Source organism: Homo sapiens, chromosome 6 (assembly GCF_000001405.40).
Source record: "Homo sapiens chromosome 6, GRCh38.p14 Primary Assembly".
Taxonomy (NCBI): domain Eukaryota; kingdom Metazoa; phylum Chordata; class Mammalia; order Primates; family Hominidae; genus Homo; species Homo sapiens.
In genome coordinates, this window is record NC_000006.12 from 164332549 (window position 1) to 164353108 (window position 20560).

The 20560-nt window shown below is 41.1% G+C and overlaps 4 annotated features.

The window, feature by feature from the left end:
- Positions 4401-5600: an enhancer, noted in NCBI's record as "BRD4-independent group 4 enhancer chr6:164757982-164759181 (GRCh37/hg19 assembly coordinates)". NCBI's record gives its function as "activates an origin of replication core promoter dependent on BRD2, P300/CBP, MED14 and CDK7 cofactors, and independent of BRD4, by STARR-seq in HCT116 cells {active_cell/tissue: HCT116}" and the evidence as "EXISTENCE:reporter gene assay evidence [ECO:0000049][PMID:35650434]".
- Positions 11105-11907: an enhancer, noted in NCBI's record as "NANOG-H3K27ac hESC enhancer chr6:164764686-164765488 (GRCh37/hg19 assembly coordinates)". NCBI's record gives its function as "activates a minimal SCP1, AML or CMV promoter by ChIP-STARR-seq in naive H9 embryonic stem cells {active_cell/tissue: H9 hESC(naive)}" and the evidence as "EXISTENCE:reporter gene assay evidence [ECO:0000049][PMID:30033119]".
- Positions 11908-12708: an enhancer, noted in NCBI's record as "OCT4-NANOG-H3K27ac hESC enhancer chr6:164765489-164766289 (GRCh37/hg19 assembly coordinates)". NCBI's record gives its function as "activates a minimal SCP1, AML or CMV promoter by ChIP-STARR-seq in naive H9 embryonic stem cells {active_cell/tissue: H9 hESC(naive)}" and the evidence as "EXISTENCE:reporter gene assay evidence [ECO:0000049][PMID:30033119]".
- Positions 12308-12602: a silencer, noted in NCBI's record as "tiled region #8881; HepG2 Repressive non-DNase unmatched - State 24:Quies". NCBI's record gives its function as "represses a minimal TATA promoter and a strong SV40 promoter by Sharpr-MPRA in HepG2 cells {active_cell/tissue: HepG2}" and the evidence as "EXISTENCE:reporter gene assay evidence [ECO:0000049][PMID:27701403]".

The following is a 20560-nucleotide window of genomic DNA, read 5'->3' on the forward strand; positions in this document are numbered from 1 at the left end:
TCCTAATACTTAAAAATGCTACTGAGTGCTAGTTCAGATATACTTTTCTGTGAGCTCAGTTATGTATTTTATACTTCATTAAAACATTATACTCCCTGCATGTAATTGTGGGATTTCTTTATAAGACATGTAACTTAATGTTTCCAGGGGTTTCCAAACCCCACTTCACACTGGAATCCTGAGAATATTTTTTCTTGAAAGCATATTCCAAAACTATCTAGATTTATTTAATCAGTATCTCTAGGATTAGGCCCAGGCTTGCTGGAATCAAAAATGAATCCAAAAAAAAGTGGTGGGAAGGAGGGAGGTTGAAATAAACAGGTGAGCAAAAAACGAAAGGGATTATTTCCTAAAACTTACATGGGACATTTTTTATTTGTAGTTTCAAGAATATTGAAAAGCAGTTTTGTTATTTTCATTTGTCATTGTATCATTAGTATTTTCCCATGTCATTTAATAATACTTTGTGGTCAAGAATGTAAATATTTTAAGAAAAAAAAATTGAAGAAAGGATGTAAAACATATCTCTTATGGGCTAGACTATATTAAAGTATTTTGCAAAGTTTCTACTTTCTACTATGAAGTCAGTATTTTATTAAACTAATTTTTTAAGTAACTGGAAGACTTTTATTTCTACCAATATGGCAGAGAAAACATGTGGTTTATCGTATCTAAACCTACTAGATAAAATGAAAAAGCTAATTTTCAAATACTGACCTGAGCTGAGGATAAGCACAAGCAACAAGGCTCAGTATAAAACTTATACTGCAGATATGGGATTATCCAATACAGCATATATGATAAATACCTAAATATATAAGGAATAACAAATGAAATAAAAAGGGAAAAGGTATAAATGGCCAGACATATTTAATATTTAATAAAGAACTAAATAAACCTTTCAGAATAAATTACGTATACTTGCCTGCTACTTTACATTAGAAATTCAATGGATGGACTAAAGAACATATTAATCAAAGCAGAAAAAAGTCTTAGTGTACTGAACTGAAAAAATAAACCAGCATAAGCCCAAGGTGACCACAAAGAGGAACCATAAAGATTTGAGTGACATAGATTATAGAAAAATAACATGAAGTATATGTCTTATTGAAGATCTAGAAAGAAAAAAATAGAGAGATAGATTGAGCAAAAGAATGAGAAATAGATTGATAACATTTGAATATGATGAAAGATAAACATTCAATAAGGTATATACTTAAACATATCATAAGCAAACAGCTGAACACAAAAACAAAACCAAAAAGAATATTAAAGGTAGTCAGAGAGAAAAGATAAAATCACCTACTGAAAACTGGCCATAAGACCCAAAGCTGGCATCATAAGAGAAGCCAACAAAAGAGTGGGTTTACGTATCTTCAACATGATGACAGTAAATAGATCTTAACTTAGAATTCTAAATGTAGGAAGTCCATCTTTTAAGAGTGAAAACAAAACAAAGATGGCCCCCAAAATCTTACAAAAGAATTATACTAGTCCCTCATTGATAGAATTCTGAAGGATATGGTTTACAAAGAAAACAATGTTCGCAGAAGGAAGCTGCAAGATATAATAAAAAATGTAAGCAAAAGGTAAATATAGAAATAAGTGTAAACAAACAACTATTTTATAAAACATAAGAATGCTGTGTTGTGTGTGTGTGTGCGTGCGTGCGTGTGTGTGTGTGTACACCATCCTGAGAACACCATTTAAAATTTCAGGCTAAATTCACTCATTTATGAGCATGAATACCAAAACTTCAAAATGTCTTAGCAGATAAAATCCAAAAATGTATTGATAAGATAATGCATTCTGACCAAGTTTAGAGCATTCCAGGAAGATCAGGTTGACTCAATATTAGAAAACAAATTTATAAAGTGTATCACGTTCATGCAGAAAAAACATTAGATATATTTCAATTATTTGGTTAATTGGATTAACAATGGATATTAATATACCACTAATGTTTAAAACAGAACAAAACAAAAACTCCTAGTAACTTAGGAATAGTGGGGAAGTTTTATGCTCTAATAAAACACACACAAAAATATATTTCATCAACATCTTATTTAATTATGAAATATTATGCACATTACCATATAGTCAGGGATATAATTGATTTTCTGCTGTTACCACATCTATTCAACATTGTTCTTCAGCACCCAGTCACCACAATAAATAAGAAAAAGAAACGAATAGTGTAAGGTTTGGAAAGAAAGAGGTAGTTACTATGATTATTCATATCAGCATGGAGAGACAGAAATATAATGTGAGCCAGGAAGGTAATTTTTCTAACTGCTGTATTTATAAAAAAATTAAAGCATACAAATTAATACATTGTGCTACTTATGTAATGATAGAGAACATAAGGCAGAAACAGATCAGGAATGGTTTAGAAACAGATCCATACATATGTGGAAAATTCTCTGAATGTTAGAGGTTCTTTGCACTTCAGTGCAGAAAGGAGAGGTATTCAATAAATAATGCTGGAAAAATTTGTTATCTATATGGGGAAAATAAAATTATATTCTTACTTTACACCATAAACAAAAGCCAGTTTATTATGTATCAGCAACTTAAAATGTAAAAGGCAAACTTTTCAAAATGTAAAATACAGCAAAGGAGAATTGCGGTGATTTGAGTTTGGGTCCTTCCAAAATTCTTATATTAAATTTTGAATCCCCAAGGTGATGGTATTAGGAAGCGGGTCATTTAAGAGGTGAGTTTATAATGATGGCAGACCCCTCAGAAATGGGATTAGCATCTTTATAATAAGGCCCTAACCGGAATCCTGGCCTGTTCCACCCTGTGAGGACACAGAAAGAAGGTATCATCCGTGTCTGGCCTCTTGTGAGTCACTGAATTTGCCTTGATCGTATACTTCCACACTCCAGGACTGTGGAAGAAATAAATTTCTGTTGTTTATAAGCTACCCAGTTTATGGCATTTTGTTATATCAGCCTGGATAGACTAAAACAAGAATGTCTTTAAGATTATGTGCTAAAAAAAAAACACCACATTTTGAAACAAGACACAGAAAGCATCAACCATAAAAGAAAAGATAAATTCTACTACATCAAGAGATATCTGTGCACCAAAGGACACCATGAAGAGTTAGAAAATAAGCCACAAGCCAGTAGAAAATATTTACCTATCTATAACTGAAAAATTAATATCCAGACTATTAAGTGGGGATTTCTATGGATCAGAAATAAAAAGTTGAGAAACGGGCAAATAATTTGTAGGCATCTCATGAGGGAAAAACTGAATTAAAAATATGGATAATTGTTCAACCTTTTTAGTAATCACAGAAATGCAAATTAAAACTCGAAGAAGATAACGTTTTGCACTTACCATATTGGCAGGCCCTCCCCACGCTTCATTTTCCTCTCTCTTCTTCAGGAAAGCCTTGCTAATTTCAACCATTTGTTCAGCTTATTGCCTTACACAGAAACCCCTGTTGAAATTTTTATTGGAGTGATGGATCAAGTTGAGGAGATCTGCAGTTTTTTTATGATAGGCTTCATATTCAATAACATTGTATGTCTCTATTTAATTCGGTATTTTTAAATGAATTTCAATGAAGTATCATAATTTTCATTAAAAAAAGACTTGCACTTAATAAAATTATTTCAGGATATTTTAAAATGTTTATAGCTATTGTAAATGGCATCATTCTAATTATTAATTTTTCTATTCATTGTTGGTCTGTAGAAAGATTATATACATATTACTTATAGCTGGCAATATTACTCAATTCATTTACTAATTCTTAAAATTTCTGTAAGTTTTTATGAGGGGGTTTCTTTTTAACTATTTATATGTTTAATTTCTAATTCCCATAGTGATAGTATTAGGAGGCGGGTCACTAAAGAGGTGATTGATTATAAACCTATAGGGCAGCCACAGGTTTGGACCAACTGTGTGTGCTCTGACCAAATTGAGATGTACTCTAAGTGCAAAAAACACAATGAATTTCAAAGACTTAGTGTGAAAAAATGGAAACTGCTTCACTGATAATTTGAATACTGAATGCATGCTGAAATAATAATATTTTGGACCCAAGAAGAGCCAGGCAGAACAAGCCAGGGCTGGCCCAAAGCCAGGATAACTTGATGGCGGGTCCTTGACTTGCATTAAGGCTCCATCTTGGGACCGTTTCAGCTTCAGGTGGGGTGAGGATTTATTCAGGGGCTCATCTGTGGGAAGAGCTAAAGTACAAGATTGTGACTCAAGCAGGGCCTGGAATGAGTTCATTGAAATAACCCAACATGGATTCAGCTACTTTTGTTTTTAATTAGAGATTTAAAATCTGAGTCTCCATGCAAATGGAATTTTTACAGAATACAAAAATCTCCCATTCCTGAGAACTGTTTGAGGTTTCCCCCGAATTCTCAGTGAATTATTCCTTCCTTTGCTCAGTTCCTGTCACCATCCTGTTGGAACGGATGCCTGCCCACCATGATCCGCAGATTCTGGACGGAGACTCAGGAGAGGAAGCCGAGACAACGACGCCACAGTGCAGAACGGAGCCTCCCTCTTCCGGGCTGAAGATCTCAGCCATTCCGGCTGCATCCAGGAGCGGCCCGGGAGCTTCCCCAACAGTGAACACAGACCCAGGGCTCCTACCCAAATGGGGACGTGAACAAGCCGCTTCCCGCGAGACTGGGTGGAAGGGCCTCTCTCCCACCACGGCCTCTCTCCAACTGCTCCGTGGGCGCCCGTGTTTTCTCCTCCCGGGCTGCAGCACCCCACGCCGCGCTCTCCACGAGCTCCCGTCACGGAAACACCTCCGCGTCCCGCAGTTCACTCCCTGCTCACTCCTGAAACCTTTCCTCCCTGTATCTCCCCAGGGAGCCCACGGGGTTTCCTCGGCTTCAGCGCCTGGTGGAGGCCTCAGCTCTTCAGGTGCCTGTCCCCGCGGCTACCAGGGAGTGCGGCACCAGAAGCAGCCCAACCCTCGCTGTCTTTGCTGCCATTACTGGTTTCGCAGGCTTGTCCTGGGCTAACCATGGGCTTCCCCACCCTGCTCAACAGCTGCCCAGGGCTGCTGTGCACCGGGCCGCCACCGCGCCCTGCTCACCAGAGAACATACCGCCATTACGAGAGACCTCACCCCACTCAGGAGAAGCCGCGAGCCGCTCACCAGAGGCCTCACCCCACTCACCAGAGACCTCATCCAGTTCACCAGAGGCCATCCGCACCCTTTCATGAGAGGTCGCAGCTGCCAGCGTCCACGCTGAGGGTTGGTGTTTCTTCCCTCTCTGTATCAGAGGTATTTGAACCAGAGCGACTCCATCTTGAATAGGGGCTGGGTAAAATGAGGCTGAGACCTATTGGGCTGCATTCCCAGGAGGTTATGGCGTTCTAAGTCACAGGATGAAACAGGAGGTTGGCGTAAGATATAGGTCACAAAGACCTTGCTGATATAATAGTCCGAGGTAAAGAAGCTGGCCAAACCCCACCAAAACCAAGATGGCAACCTCTGGTCTCCTCACTGCTCATTATATGTTAATTATAATACATTAGCATGCTAAAAGACACTTTCAGCAGCACCAGGAGAGTTTACAAATGCCATGAAAACATCAGGAAGTTACCCTATATGGTCCGAAAAGGGGAGGAACCCTCAGTTCCAGGGAATTTCCCACCCCTTTCCCAGAAAACTCATGAATAATCCACCCCTCCTTTAGCACATTATCAAGAAATAATCGTAAAAGTAGGCAATCAACAGCCCATGCATCTGCTCTGCCTATGGAGTAGGCATTTGTTATTCCTCTACTTTCTTAAGAAATTTGCTTTCACTTTATGGATTTGCCTTGAATTCTTTGTTTTTCCAGATCCAAGAACTCTCTCTTGGGGTCTGGATCGGGACCCCTTTTGGGTAACATCTGGACTAAGCAACTCTTTCAATGAGGGATTTGAGAACAAAGTTCTTAGTGTCTCTAGAGACAGGAAGTTGGTTTCCTCCCTCCCCACAGTTATCCCACAGCTAAGAGGGAGCAGGATTTCAGAAGGCAGGGTGAGGGAGCAGTCCAGGAGCCCCACATCGCCGGGGGAAGCCCTTCCTCCTCCTTCGGCAGTAGGGTCTGCCTCTGCTCCTTCGGGTCCCCTGCTCATCTTTCCCCTTCCTACCTTCTTTACTCCCGGTTCCCATCCTAGTCTGTCAAACAGGAAGCAGGAGCTTACCCGCAGGCCTTTTTGGCTCCTTGTACATCAGCATCTTTCATGTGCGTCCATGTGAAGAGACCACCAAACAGGCTTTGTGTGAGCAATAAAGCTTTTAATCACCTGGGTGCAGGCGGGCTGAGTCCGAAAAGAGAGTCAGCGAAGGGAGAATAGGGGTGGGGCCATTTTATAGGATTTGGGTAGGTAAAGGAAAGTTACAGTCAAAGGGGGGTTGTTCTCTGGCAGGCAGAGTGGGGGTCACAAGGTGCTCAGTAGGGGAGCTTTTGAGCCAGGATGAGCCAGGAGAGGGGATTTCACAAGACAATGTCATCAGTTAAGGCAGAAACAGGCCATTTTCACTTCTTTTGTGGTGGAATGTCATCAGTTAAGGCAGGATCCAGCCATCTGGATGTGTACGTGCAGGTCACAGGGGATATGATGGCTTAGCTTGGGCTCAGAGGCCTGACATTCCTGTCTTCTTATATTAATAAGAAAAATAAAACGAAATAGTGGTAAAGTGTTGGGACAGCGAAAATTTTGGGGGATGGTATGGAGAGATAATGGGCGACGTTTCTCAGGGCTGCTTCGAGGGGGATTAGGGGCAGCATGGGAACCTAGAATGGGAGAGATTAAGGTGAAGGAAGATTTTATGGTAAGGGGTGATATTGTGGGGTTGTTAGAAGAAACATTTGTCATTTAGAATTATTGGTGATGGCCTGGATACGGTTTTGTATGAATTGAAAAACTAAATGGAATAAGAGAAGGAGAAAAACAGGTATAAAAGGTCTAAGAATTGGGACGACACAGGACATCTGATTAGAGAGTGCCTAAGGAGATTCAGCATAGTCCTGCCAGCAAAGATTATTTACTTCAGGAGTTAAGAGTGGCAATTTGGAGATAGCACCAGGAGATATCAGCTGTGATGGCTTGGAGAAACAGTGTAAACCGGCAGTGTAAACAAGAGCAGGGCATGTATGAGTAGTTGAAAACGGTGAATAGGAGTATGACTAGACAGAAGATAGTAGGGAAGACAAGTTTTTTTGGGGCACAGTCTAAGTTGGTCTGGTGTGTGGAATGAGACTGGGGCCTAATAAAAAGGAGCGTCTATACAGGAGCTCAAATGGGCTGAACCTTGTAGCATTCTGAGGACAGGTCTGACTTCTGAGAAGGGAAAGTGGTAAAAGTATTGTCCAGTCCTTTTTAAGTTGGTGGCTGAGCTTGGTGAGGTGTGTTTTTAAAAGACCTTTGGTCCGTTCTACTTTTCCTGAAGACGGAGGACCGTAAGGGATATAAAGGTTTCACTGAATACTAAGAGCCTGAAAAACTGCTTGGCTGATTTGACTAATAAAGGCTGGTCTGTTATCAGACTGTATAGAGGTGGGAAGGCTAAACTGAGGAATTATGTCTACAGAAGGGAAGAAATGACTGTGGTGGCCTTCTCAGACCCTATAGGAAAGGCCTGTACCTATCCAGTGAAAGTGTCTACCTAGACTAAGAGGTATTTTAGTTATCTGACTAGGGGCATGTTGAGTAAAGCTAATTTGCCAGTCCTGGGTGGGGGCAAATCCTTGAGCTTGATGTGTAGGGAAGGGAGGGGGCCTGAATAATCCCTGAGGAGTAGTAGAGTAGCAGATGGAACACTGAGAAGTTATTTCCTTGAAGATAGATTTCCACGGTGAAAAGAAAATGAGAGGTTCTAAGAGGCGGGCTAGTGGCTTGTATTATAGCATAGCCTGCCTTTGCTGGTGTGTGGTGATTAGGCCTGGTGGAACCGCCATCAGTAAATCAAGTGTGATCAGGGTGAGGAACAGGAAAGAAGGAAATATGGGGAAATGGGGTGAATGTCAGGTGGATCAGAGAGATACAGTCATGAGGGTCAGGTGTGGTATCAGGAATAACGTGGGAGGCCGGATTGAAGTCCAGGCCAGGAACAATGGTAATTGTGGGACTTAACAAAGAGTGAGTACAGCTGAAGGAGCCGGGGAGCAGAAAGTATATGCGTCAAGATGTGAGGAAGAAAATAGATTTTGGAAATTATGAGAGCTGTAGGGAGTGAGTTGAGCATAATTTGTGATTTTTAGGGCCTCTAAAAGTATTAAAGCAGCGGCAGCTGCTGCACGCAGACATGAGGGCTAGGCTAAAACAGTAAGGTCAAGTTGTTTGGACAGAAAGGCTACAGGGTGTGGTCCTGGCTCTTGTGTAAGAATTCTGACTGTACTAACTATGCCTAGGAAGGAAAGGAGTTGTTGTTTTGTAAGGGATTGAGGTTTGGGAGATTAATTGGACACGATCAGCAGGGAGAGCACGTGTGTTTTTATGAGAATTATGCTGAGATAGGTAACAGATGAGGATGAAATTTGGGCTTGACTGAAGTAATGGGGTCTGTCTGTGAAGGCTTGCGGCAGTACAGCCCAGGTAATTTGCTGAGCGTGATGGGTGTCAGGGTCAGTCTAAGTGAAAGCGAAGAGAGTCTGGGATGAAGGGTGCAAAGGAATAGTAAAGAAAACATGTTTGAGATCTAGAACAGAATAATGGGTTGTAGAGGGAGGTATTGAGGATAGGAGAGTATATGGGTTTGGCACCACGGGGTGGATAGGCAAAACAATTTGGTTGATAAGGTGCAGATGCTGAACTAACCTGTAAGTCTTGTCTGGTTTTAGGACAGGTAAAATGGGGGAATTGTAAGGAGAATTTATAGGCTTTAAAAGGCCATGCTGTAGCAGGGAAGTGATAACAGGCTTTAATCTTTTTAAAGCGTGCTGTGGGATGGGATATTGGCATTGAGGGGGGTAAGGGTGATTAGGCTTTAATGAGATTGTAAGGGGTGCATGATCGGTCGCCAAGGAGGGAATAGAGGTATCTTATACTTGTGGGTTAAGGTGGGGGGATATGAGAGGAGGATGTGAAGGAGGCTTTGAACTGGGGAAAAGGTGGCAATGAGATGTAGCTGTAGTCCAGGAATAGTCAGGGAAGCAGATAATTTAGTTAAAGTGTCTTGGCCTAATAAGGGAACTGGGCAGGTGGGGATAACTAAAAAGGAGTGCTTAAAAGAGTGTTGTCCAAGTTGGCACCAGAGTGGGGGAGTTTTCAGGGGTTTAGAAGCCTGGCCGTCAATACCCACAACAGTTATGGAGGCAAGGGAAACAGGCCCTTGAAAAGAAGGTAATGTGGAGTGGGTAGCCTCCACATTGACTAAGGGGATGGACTTACCTTCCGCTGTGAGAGTTACCCGAAGCTCGGCGTCCGTGATGGTCTAGGGGGCTTCCGAGGCGATGGGGCAGTGTCAGTCTTCAGCCGCTAAGCCAAGAAGATCTGGGAAGGAGTCAGAGAGCCTTGGGCCAGAGTTCCAGGGGCTCTGGGAGTGGCTGCCAGGTGAGTTGGACAGTCTGATTTCCAGTGGTGTCCCGCACAGATGGGACTCGGTTTTGGAGGAATCCTGGGCTGCAGGCATTCCTTGGCCTGGTGGCCAGATTTCTGGCACTTGTAGCAAGCTCCTGGTGGAGGAGGTTCTGGAGGAACACCTGGCTGCTGCGGTTCAGGCGTTTGGAAGTTGTGTGCTGGAGATGTGGCTGGGGTTTGTCTCCCAGTGGAGGTAAGGAATTGCAACTTTTTTCTATTATTGTACACCTTGAAGACAAGGTTAATTAAGTCCTGTTGTGGGGTTTGAGGGCTGGAATTTAATTTTTGGAGTTTTATTTAATGTTGGGAGCAGATTGGGTAATAAAATATATTTTGAGAATAAGATGGCCTTTTGACCTTTTAGGGTCTAGGGCTGTAAAGCGTCTCAGGGTTGCTGCCGAATGAGCCATGAACTGGGCTGGGTTTTTCATATTTGATGAAAGAGCCTAAACGCTCACTGATTTGGGAGACGTCTGATAAAGAAAAAGGAGCATTAACCTTGACTATGCCTTTAGCTCCAGCCACCTTTTTAAGAGGAAATTGCTGGGCAGGTGGGAGAGGGCTACTCACAGAATGAAACTGTAAACTGGACCAGGTGTGAGGAGGGGAGGTGATAAAAAGATTATAGGGTGGAGGAGCCGAGGCTGAGGAAGAATTGGGACCTAGCTTGGCCTAGCGAGGAGCAGCCTGGGGAGGAGGGGAGAGGTCAGATGGGTCTGTAGAAAAGGAAGATTAGAAAGACTCAGCAATTGTTTGGGGTTGGGACTGAGGGGATAGGTGGGAGGGAAAGAAGGAAGATTTGGGACAAGTTGCACTGGGCACACAGACTAGGGAGGGACCGATGTGTAAAAGAATTCCTGGACGTCAGGCACCTCATACCATTTGCCTATTTTACCACAAGAATTATTTAGGTCTTGTAGGATGGAGAAATCGAAAGTGCCGTTTTCTGGCCATTTGGAACTACTGTCGAGTTTGTAATGGGGTCAAGCGGCATTGCAGAAGAAAATAAGGCATTTGCGTTTTAGGTCAGGTGTGAGTTGAAGAGGTTTTAAGTTCTTAAGAACACAGGCTAAGGGAGAAGAAGGAGGAATGGAGGGTGGAAGGTTGCCCATAGTGAAGGAGGCAAGCCCAGAGAAAAGAGAGAGTAGAGACACAGAGAGAAGGGATTCAGGGGTTCTTACCCTCCAGAAAAGTGGGAAAGGGGTCAAGGCACAGAGATACGAGGTCAGGGCACGGAAATAAGGGATTGGGGTGCAGAGATATAAGAGGTTGGGGCACGGAAATAAGGGATCCGGGCGCAGAGATATAAGAGGTTGGGGTGCAGAAATAAGGCATGAGGCGCAGCGATATAAGAGGTTGGGGTGCGGAAATAAGGGATGGGGCGCAGAGATACAGGTTGGGGTGCGGAAATAAGGGATCAAGGCACAGAGATATAAGAGGTTGGGGCGTGGAAATAAGGGATCGGGGTGCAGAGATATAAGAGGTTGGGGTGCGGAAATAAGGGATGGGGCGCGGAGATAGAGGTTGGGGTGCGGAAATAAGGGATGGAGCGCAGAGATATAAGAGGTTGGGGTGCAGAAATAAGGGATCGAGGTGCAGAGATATAAGAGGTTGGAGTGCAGAAATAAGGGATGGGGTGCAGAGATATAAGGGGTACTTGCCCCTCCCCCAGAAAAGCGGGACTTGCCGCTAAGGGTGAAGGAGAAGGGGTTGGGGGTTTCTTGCCCCACAGAAAGGCAGAGAAGGGTAGAGACACGGAGAGAAGGGGTTGGGGTACTTGGCCCTTCCCCAGAAAAGCAGGACTTGCCGCTAAGGGTGAAGGACCAAGGCAGGCGTCCCTGCGTGGTCTGACACCTCTGAAACCTGGGTGAATAATCAGAGAGGCGCCCCTGCAATGATTAAACACCAAGGGAAGGCTGCCTTCCCTAGGCCATGACTGGCGCCGGAGTTTTGGGTCCACGGATAAAACGTGTCTCCTTTGTCTCTACCAGAAAATGAAAGGAATTGAAATTAAAAGAAGGGAGAGATTGAAGTGTGGTGCCAAGATTCAAAGGAGAAAGAGGTTGAGGGATAGTGAGGGAGGTTGGAGAAGAGAGTAAAAAGAGGCCGCTTACTGCATTTGAAATTGGTGAGATGTTTCTTGGGCTGGTGGGTCTGAGGACCTGAGGTCATAGGTGGATCCTTCTCACGGAGCAAAGAGCAGGAGGACAGGGGATTGATCTCCCAAGGGAGGTCCCCGATCCGAGTCACGGCACCAAATTTCATGTGCATCCGTGTGAAGAGACCACCAAACAGGCTTTATGTGAGCAATAAAGCTTTTAATCACCTGGGTGCAGGTGGGCTGAGTCCGAAAAGAGAGTCAGCAAAGGGAGATGGGGTGGGGCCGTTTTATAGGATTTGAGTAGGTAAAGGAAAATTACAGTCAAAGGGGGTTTGTTCTCTGGTGGGCAGAGTGGGGGTCACAGGGTGCTCAGTAGGGGAGCTTTTGAGCCAGGATGAGCCAGGAGAAGGAATTTCACAAGACGATGTCATCAGTTAAGGCAGGAACAGGCCATTTTCACTTCTTTTGTGGTGGAATGTCATCAGTTAAGGCAGGATCCAGCCATCTGGATGTGTAAGTGCAGGTCACAGGGGGATATGATGGCTTAGTTTGGGCTCAGAGGCCTGACAGCATCTATCTGAACATCTAATATAAATGTTCCTAAAATTTTCTATTCCTTTTGGAGCAATCTGGGTCAGTTTGGAGGTTTTCTGGCTAAGGCGTTGGATGAGTCTACACACTGGCTTTCCTGTGCTTCTGCTCTGGCCGGTTCAGAAGTCTGCTTCAGAGCGGGTTTATTGCCAAACAGAATGGAATCCTTCTCCTGGGGCTTTTTTCTTGGCATCCATTGAAATGTAAATGGTACTACCCTCATGTTTTCCAAATTGAGTGTCACAGAACACAAATATCCAATGGGATGCTAATGGGAGTTCTGAAAAGAAAAAAAAAAACGTATTCTGAAGTTAAATGAGTTTGGAAAACTCCCCGTACCCGGAGATTATCATGCATATTAGCACGTTAAGAACCTGAGACATTCTTTAGTGAATGATTCCATTATTTTGTGTAGCCAGAACTTGTCAAACCTATTTAATCACAGAACCTTCTTTACTGATTAATACTTATTAACATTTTGCAGGACACTAGTATTCTGTTTATCTCAGTTTGGGAGACACAGGAAGATTGCTTTCTCATGGTTCTTTTCCTAATCCCCTACTTAGACAGTCAAAAGAAGACTTTTTTGTTATTGTTGCTGCTGTTTAGTTATTGTCTTGTAATTCAACACAATTTAATAATATTAAGGATCAGTTTTACTAGTGAGACTCAAACTGCAGATGTATTGCCAAACCTCTGCAGGTCTCCTGAAGGTCGCAGTCACTTTGAGCAGCTACTCTCTGGCCGTTTCTTTCACAGTACGCTCTCTGAGATTGGCCTGGGAAGATTCTTCCTCAGAATAAGTTTTCATTAGCTTTCTACTTCTTTCTTGCTGCTGCCCTGGAAATTGTGATGGCTGTAGGCTTTTGTATGACTGTCTTCATGGCCCATTTTTTATTCACTTACACTGATATTTCCTCCTTTATCCTCACAGAAACAGATTTGACTTCAGTAAACAAATACTGTTACCAGAAAGGGGTCCTGATCCAGACCACGAGAGAGTGTTCTTGGATCTCACGCAAGAAAGAATTAAAGGCAAATCCATAGAGTAAAGTGAAAGCAAGTTTATTAAAAAAGTAAAGGAGTGAAAGAATGGCTACTCCATAGGCAGAGCAGCAGCACGGGCTGCTCTTTGGCTATTTTATGGTTATTTCTTGATTATATGCTAAACGAGGGGTGGATTATTCATGAGTTTTCTGGGAAAGGGGTGGGGGCAATTCCCGGAATTGAGGGTTCCTCCCCATTGTAGAGCATGTAGGGTAACTTTCTGATGTTGCCTTGGCATTTGTAAACAGTCATGGCACTGGTGGGAATGTCTTTTAACATGCTAATGTATTATAATTAGTGTGTATTAAGCAGTGAGGATGACCAGAGGTCTCTTTCCTTGCCTTCTTGGTTTTGGTGGGATTTGGCCAGCTCCTTTACCGTATGCTGTTTTATCAGCAAGGTCTTTGTGACCTGTATCTTGTGCCAGCCTCCTATCTCAAGGTCTCAAGGTTGCACAGAATGTCAGCAGCAGGACTTGTTAGTAGCCTGGAATTTATGTCGATCAACTCTTTATCTTGTGTCAAGAATATCTGGGCCAGTGCAACGTAAAAACACTCAGGAACAGAGATGCGACACAACTCTTGCCCCTTCCTTCTGTCCTGTCTGAACACATTCCTCACAAAATAGGCTTATCCAAATATTGGAAATAATGCTTTATTCAGATTAGAACACATATCCTGACATGAATTCTGAAGCTGTCATCTGTAAATTCATGGCTTTTGCTGTAAATTGGGGATGAGGACATCCTTTTCCTCTGGGTTCTAAGAAATTCGTAAGTTAGAGATAAACAGAGTCACAGCAGTTGCTTCATCATTGCCTGGAGCAAATTCAAATTTATTGAAACCTTTAGGGCTTCCAGTAAGATAATTTAGCTACTCAGGCCTGAAGTCTACTCAGGCCTCCTACTCCTACTTCAAGTTAGCTGTTGGGACCTGCCTGTGGGGACAGCTGTGTCTGCAATGCAGAGTCACAGTCAATTTATCTGGCCAGGTGGGGGAGCACAGTGCTGCATCCTTGGATAAGACAGATGGAAGGTTGCTTAAAGGGGCTGGAGCTGCATGATTGTGCTTATTTCAGAAGTAACAGACCCATAGCTCAACATTCCAGAGCATATATCAAGAGACCAGAGATTCTGAACCTGCTAAGAAACAGTACTGTCATGGCAGTTGTTAAAATGCTAAAATATTTCTAGAGTGGTTTATTAAGGTCTGTTGCCCCCAGGTTTCCCCATGACCCAGAAACTAAGGGGTTAATTAATGCCAAGTAAGGCAGGGGCTTCTAGGGCCTGATGATCTGTAAGGCTACTAAGAACCTTGCACTTCAATTCACTCCTGACTGCAGAGAGGGTTTACGGACACCTTCTTCTTCTACATTTCTACCTCAGTCTGTTGAGGAAGGACTTCCTGCCAACCTTCTTCTAGATGATTCTGCAACAATGCCCAGGCTTTTTGCCTCTTTCTCCACACCTTGTGTTTTCTTTCTGGAGCACCTGAGTCTATTCTGATTGTGGAATATTGGCCATATTGTCATCCCTAGTCACTGCTGGTTCCAGTTAACCCAACAGAGAACAGCCCAGAGAGTCCCCCTCACCCACATTCTTACTTCTTTCCCCATCTTTGTAGGCCATAGGGAACTTCTGGGGAACATCTGTGGAGGTCCCAGCATGCCAGCCCTAGGCCCTGCATTTCAACCTTTGCCTGGCAGAGAGGACAGGGGTCTCAGTAGGGAAGATTGTGCTCCTGGCAATAGACAAATGCCTGGGGTTCACGTGGCCAACAGGCCAGGGCTGTCCACCAGGGGCCAGTGTTAACTGGAGCTGCCGCTATTAGCCATTCATAGAAACAGCCACCCCTACAGGATGCTAGCTGTTATGGGCCAGAGAAATACAAGGAGATCAGATGGCACAGGTGGATAATATTTTCAAGGGTACCTTTGGCCAAATATATGTCAGATGCTTGCCTGCCCCAGGGACTAGTGCCCCATCCCTTAAAGAGGAGTAGGTATTCACCAGATTTCCACAGGGAACAGCACAAATTCATGGGACACTTGAGTTTCATAGGGAACTGTGAGTAGTAAGACAAATTGTCAGGTCGTGGGGTGCATACGGAGGAGTGCAGAGAAGAGAAGATGAAGGCAGTAGACAAAGTCCTCATCGTGAGGGGCCTTGCCTGATGTTCTCAGGGGTTTTCATTGTTTATTGCAGCTCAGGAGTGGTGTAGCTAGGAAAGGTTTAATTCAGACGATTGACACAATGAGATGTGTGTTTTGGAAAAAATCACCTTGTTGCAGGAACTAAAAGAAGGATACAGTAGACATTGCAGTAACCACAGACACGCACACACACACACACACACACACACACACACAAACATTCAAAGGTGGTGAGGCCTGTGGGGCATTGTGAGGGGGTGTCACATTTCCAGATAAATTTAGTGAGTAGAATCAACATACCTGAAAGCAGGTAGACTGCATGGACATGGAGTAAAAGGGTAAAGAAGGCATTTAAGACTCTTCTGGGCCCTGGTTTAAGCAGCTGGAGTGATGTGCCATTCAAAGAAACTAGAACTATGCTCACATAGTTCTCGTGAAATTCTACAGGACTATGATGTTTTGGGTGCAAACCAATTCAGCATAAAGTGCTTAGAGGCCTCCAGGTTTTCTCATCCTTTTAGGAATGTGGAGCTAGATAGAGTGAACTCTATCCAGAGATCTCTAAATCCAGAGATTGGAGCTGGAGACAGAGGTTGGAGAACATTCAGTATGGGAGGCATTTAAAACTCATCACAGCAAGATTCCTTGGAGAGTGCGTGGAGAGAGGCCGGAGTGCTGGAATTACATATGGTGCAGCTACAGGTTTCACATGACCCTGGAGACTTAACATATTTCACCTGTAGCTCTGCATCCTAAAATAATTATCTAGTAGCACTGACTGCTTACAGCTGGAAATACTATGGTACCCACTAGGTCGACTCCTCTGGTGAAATATTAACATGTAAAGGCTAGTCGAGCATTCAGATCTCTTCATTCTTTCATAGAGCCCTGCTTCCACCTCCACAGGATCTTTATGTGTTCTGGTCCTGGTTTTTGGAACAGTCCAGCCAATCCAATTTAGCTTAAACCCTCCTAGTGTTTCCTCTCCATTCAAAGCTCAACTCTAGCTCTGTCCTTCCCAGCCTAGGTCATTTTCCTTTCCTTCACAGTGCTCTTCCTAAATTGTAGTTTTTCCTTATTTTTTTGTTGGAGAACATAACAAAGTAGAAAAAGTGATGGATTTAAGTCCCTTTTGCCAGCTGCTAGTGAGAGCAGTCGTCAACTTGTTGCTGATTTTGATCTGTCTGTGCCCCTACTTCATTTTGTGTGACTCTTTTAAAACATATTACATCAATTCCTGTCCTTCTCCTCTAGAACTTCATTATACATGATACGTTTCTAAGAAACATCTATAATCTCTATTGTGACATCACTTCCTAACAAAATTAACAAAATATGGAATGCCTAGTCCCTATTTAATGTCCTCTGACTGCTTTGAATGTATGCTTATAGCTGGTTTGCTCAAATCAGGATCCAAACTGGTACATCTAGTTGTTAAAATCCCTTGTTTCTTTTATTGTATATTTCAACTTTCTTTTTTATATCTTGTTTTTTAGAAAAACCAAATTATTTTTCTGATACACTTGATCACTTGCTTCCTTATGATACTTTTAAAAACCTATTTCAAATATTTAGGCAAAAATGATTCTGAAGCATTTCCCATTGCATCTCATCATCCAGCTCATAATATTTGGTTGATCCACTTTTTGAGATTATTGAGCTCAGGTGGTATCCGTTTGATCTATTCTTTTAAAAGTTTCTCATCAAAATTTAGCTGATAGATTTTATATCCAGTGAAATTTCTGCCCAGAGCCAGATTGTCATTAGAGGTGGCAAAAATGATTTCCTGATACCATCAATCCTTCTATGTTTATTAGGTATAATTTTTCTATAAGAAAAACTTATCCTTATATGAAAGCCGATTATACTAAAAATAGCTTGTATCAGAAAGACAGATTAAATACTCAAGTCTTTATCAGTTTTGTGAATAATGACTTGTTGCTCTAACAACCTGCAATGTTGACCATTTTAATGGTCACGTTGTCTTAACTTCAGTCACTTGTAGTCAGAGTTTCTATATTTTGCTGTCTTTGTTCTTTGACATTATTCCATTGATCATTCATTGTTTCCTTGCTTTGAAAAACTATGATGTTCAGGATCATCTTTTATTTGCCTTAGACAAGAAATTAGACATTGCTTCAAATACCTCTCATCCCTTTTAATGGAAAATGTTATTCAGAGACCATGATCTAAGTGCTAGAAGTGTTTGTTGGGTTGTCATTTATTCTATATCTTTTTAGTACGTTTTAATAGCAAAAACTTCATGAGCTCATACTAGTTCTTCCAATTCATTTTTAAGATTATTAATTCATTGATTTTGTATTTTTATCTATTTTCTATTGTCTGGTAAATCTTTATTTCTACCAGTATTAGTAAATTATGTATTTGTTTTCTCTTATAATAGTCATTTCAAGATCACAATAGTACTATTCCTGAAAAAATAAAGACTACCGAATGCAATTTCAGATTTACATATCTTGTGTCCCTCAGTGTGTATTTTATCAGAACAAAAACATTTTTATGTAACCGCAATTCAATTAGCAACTTTTTAGATCAGTTCTGTGTCTAGTTTTGAGCTCACATTAAAATTTCAATAATATTCTTTTAGAGCTATTTCTCTCATTGGATGCATAAAAAAGAGCACTTGATAAAATTCAACACCTACCCTTGATAAAACCTCTCAACAAATTTGGAACAGAAGGGAACTTTCTCCACTTAATAAATGCCATATTTGAAAAACCTATAGTTAACATTATACTTTTTGGTGACTCATTAAATAATTCCTCTCAAAAATTTTCTGGCAAAATGTACCAAATGACAAGGCTATTCACTTCAGCATTTTTGTTGTTATTGCAAACACTGAGAACAAATTTAAAAATTATTTATAAAGAGAAGATTGTGGAATAACCAATGGCCAACACAGTGGTACACTCTCTAGGTACAAAAAGTAATGAGAAAAAATGCTATAGGAGATCCAATATCTGGCTACTTCTGGTAATCCTACAGTCTTTTCAAATATTTATTACAAATTTTGTCCATAAATTGTAGGATTCTGTGGCAAGATGTTAGTTCCATCTTTATATTCCATTTTCTCTAGTGAGAGTCCTCCACTAAGCTGTTAAAGCGCTAATAGGTTTCTCCAGACACTGCTATTATTAACAAATTAACATGAGGAACACTTAAGAAGGAGGAGTGGGAGGGTTAATGTGGGGAATCTTCTCCCTTCATATTTCTTTTATGATGCACATTTTGAAGAAAAGAATAGATTTCAATTTTATGAAATATTAATTGAACATCTTTCCCTCCTCCTCACCAGCATCAAAGTTATTAATAAAATGTTCAAGAATAAGGAAGTAGGTGCTGCAGTTGCAATTCACTGTTACATCTGAACAGAAGAAAGAGTGTCAAGCCTTAGGAAAACTTTACAGAAAAATTTGAGCAGTAGGTTTCAAAAGTGTGGATGGTCTAGCAAGACAGAAACAGAATGAAACAGAATGAAAATAAACACAAACAAATCTTGCAAATTAACAGAAGATTCTAAATATTATAATTTAAAATATAAACTATGATTTCTTGTACTAGATTAACTAGAAGGAAACCAAAGTAAAGAGATAAATTTGGTCTAATAAATACAATTATAAATGTAAATGTTACTGGTTGTGTTGGGAGCGGGGAAATGATTATTCTGCTGGCTATTTTTCAGGTGTCTTACATGCACTCATTTCTATATAAATCTCAGTCCAGCCAAACAGATACAGTAGCCATTTTCAGACATAGTATTAAAATCTAGAGAATTTAAATTAGTTGCCCAAATTCAAAGGATTGTTAAGTATGAGAACCAAGACTCTTAACATTTTATTGTATGATTGTATCATATTTATTCATAAAGCTATGGTTCATGGGCATTTGAGTTATTTATTTCTACTTTTTTGTTATTATAATGTGTTGCTAGGAACATAGCAAACATATACACTAATTTAGGGGGGACCATAACACAGAATTGGAATTGGTGAGTAATAAAGAAAATAAATATTCACTTTAGTAGATATTGCCAAACATTTATGCAAAACAGCTAAAGTATTACACTCCCTCTATCAGAGCATGAGGGTTCCAGTTGCTCCACATCCTAGAGAATGTTTGATGTTTTTGTCTTTTTTCTATTTAACAATCCTGGGTTTTTTTCATTTAATTCTTACACAGTTTTAACTTTCATTACTGTCATGACAAATAAGGTCAATAACTTATTGGTCATTTAATATTCTTTTTAATGAAGTGTCTGTTTAATATTATTCACATTTATTATTATTAATTTGTTATCCTCTTTTTAAATTAATGGTAGGATTCATATATATATTCTGGGTGCATGTTCTTTCATGAATAAATGTATTGCAGATATCTTCTCACAAGAGATAACTTCTTCTGTGGTATGAAGTATTAAGAGTGTCTTATCACTCTTTCATGAGTGTCTTTTTGTCGTTGTTGTTGCATTCAATTACTATAATTGTATGAAGAATAGGTGCTCAGTAAATTTTAAATGAGGTATATATGAAGGAAAAACAATTGTAGACTCCTAAAATCAACAGTGTAATTTTTAAAATTCTGAGCAAAGGAATATTTATATCAGTTACTATTTTGGAGAGACCATGAATAGAGGCTAATATCAGGAGCCTTTGGTATTATTTATGCACAAATCTTAGCTTTTCTTTGTTTTTGTTGTTGCTCACTATCATTACCAAGGGTTTTTTTTGTTTGGTTTGTTTTTTTACTTTTATTTTAGGTTCAGAGGGTCACTTGCAGGTTTGTTACATGGGTAAATTTCATGTTGCTGAGGTTTGGTGTACAGATGATCCCATCATCCAGTAGTGAGCATAATACCCATAATACCTGATAGGTAGTTTTTCAGCCTACACCCCTATCCCGCCTTCATCCCTCTAGTAGTCCCTAGTGTCTTATTGTTGCCAGTTGTATGGTCATGTTTACCTAAAGTTTAGCTTCTGCTTGTAAGTAAGAACAGGTATTTGGATTGATTTTCCTGAGTTAATTCACTTAGGATAATAGCCTCCAGCTCCATCCATGTTGCTGCAAAAGACATGACTTCTTTCCTTTTTA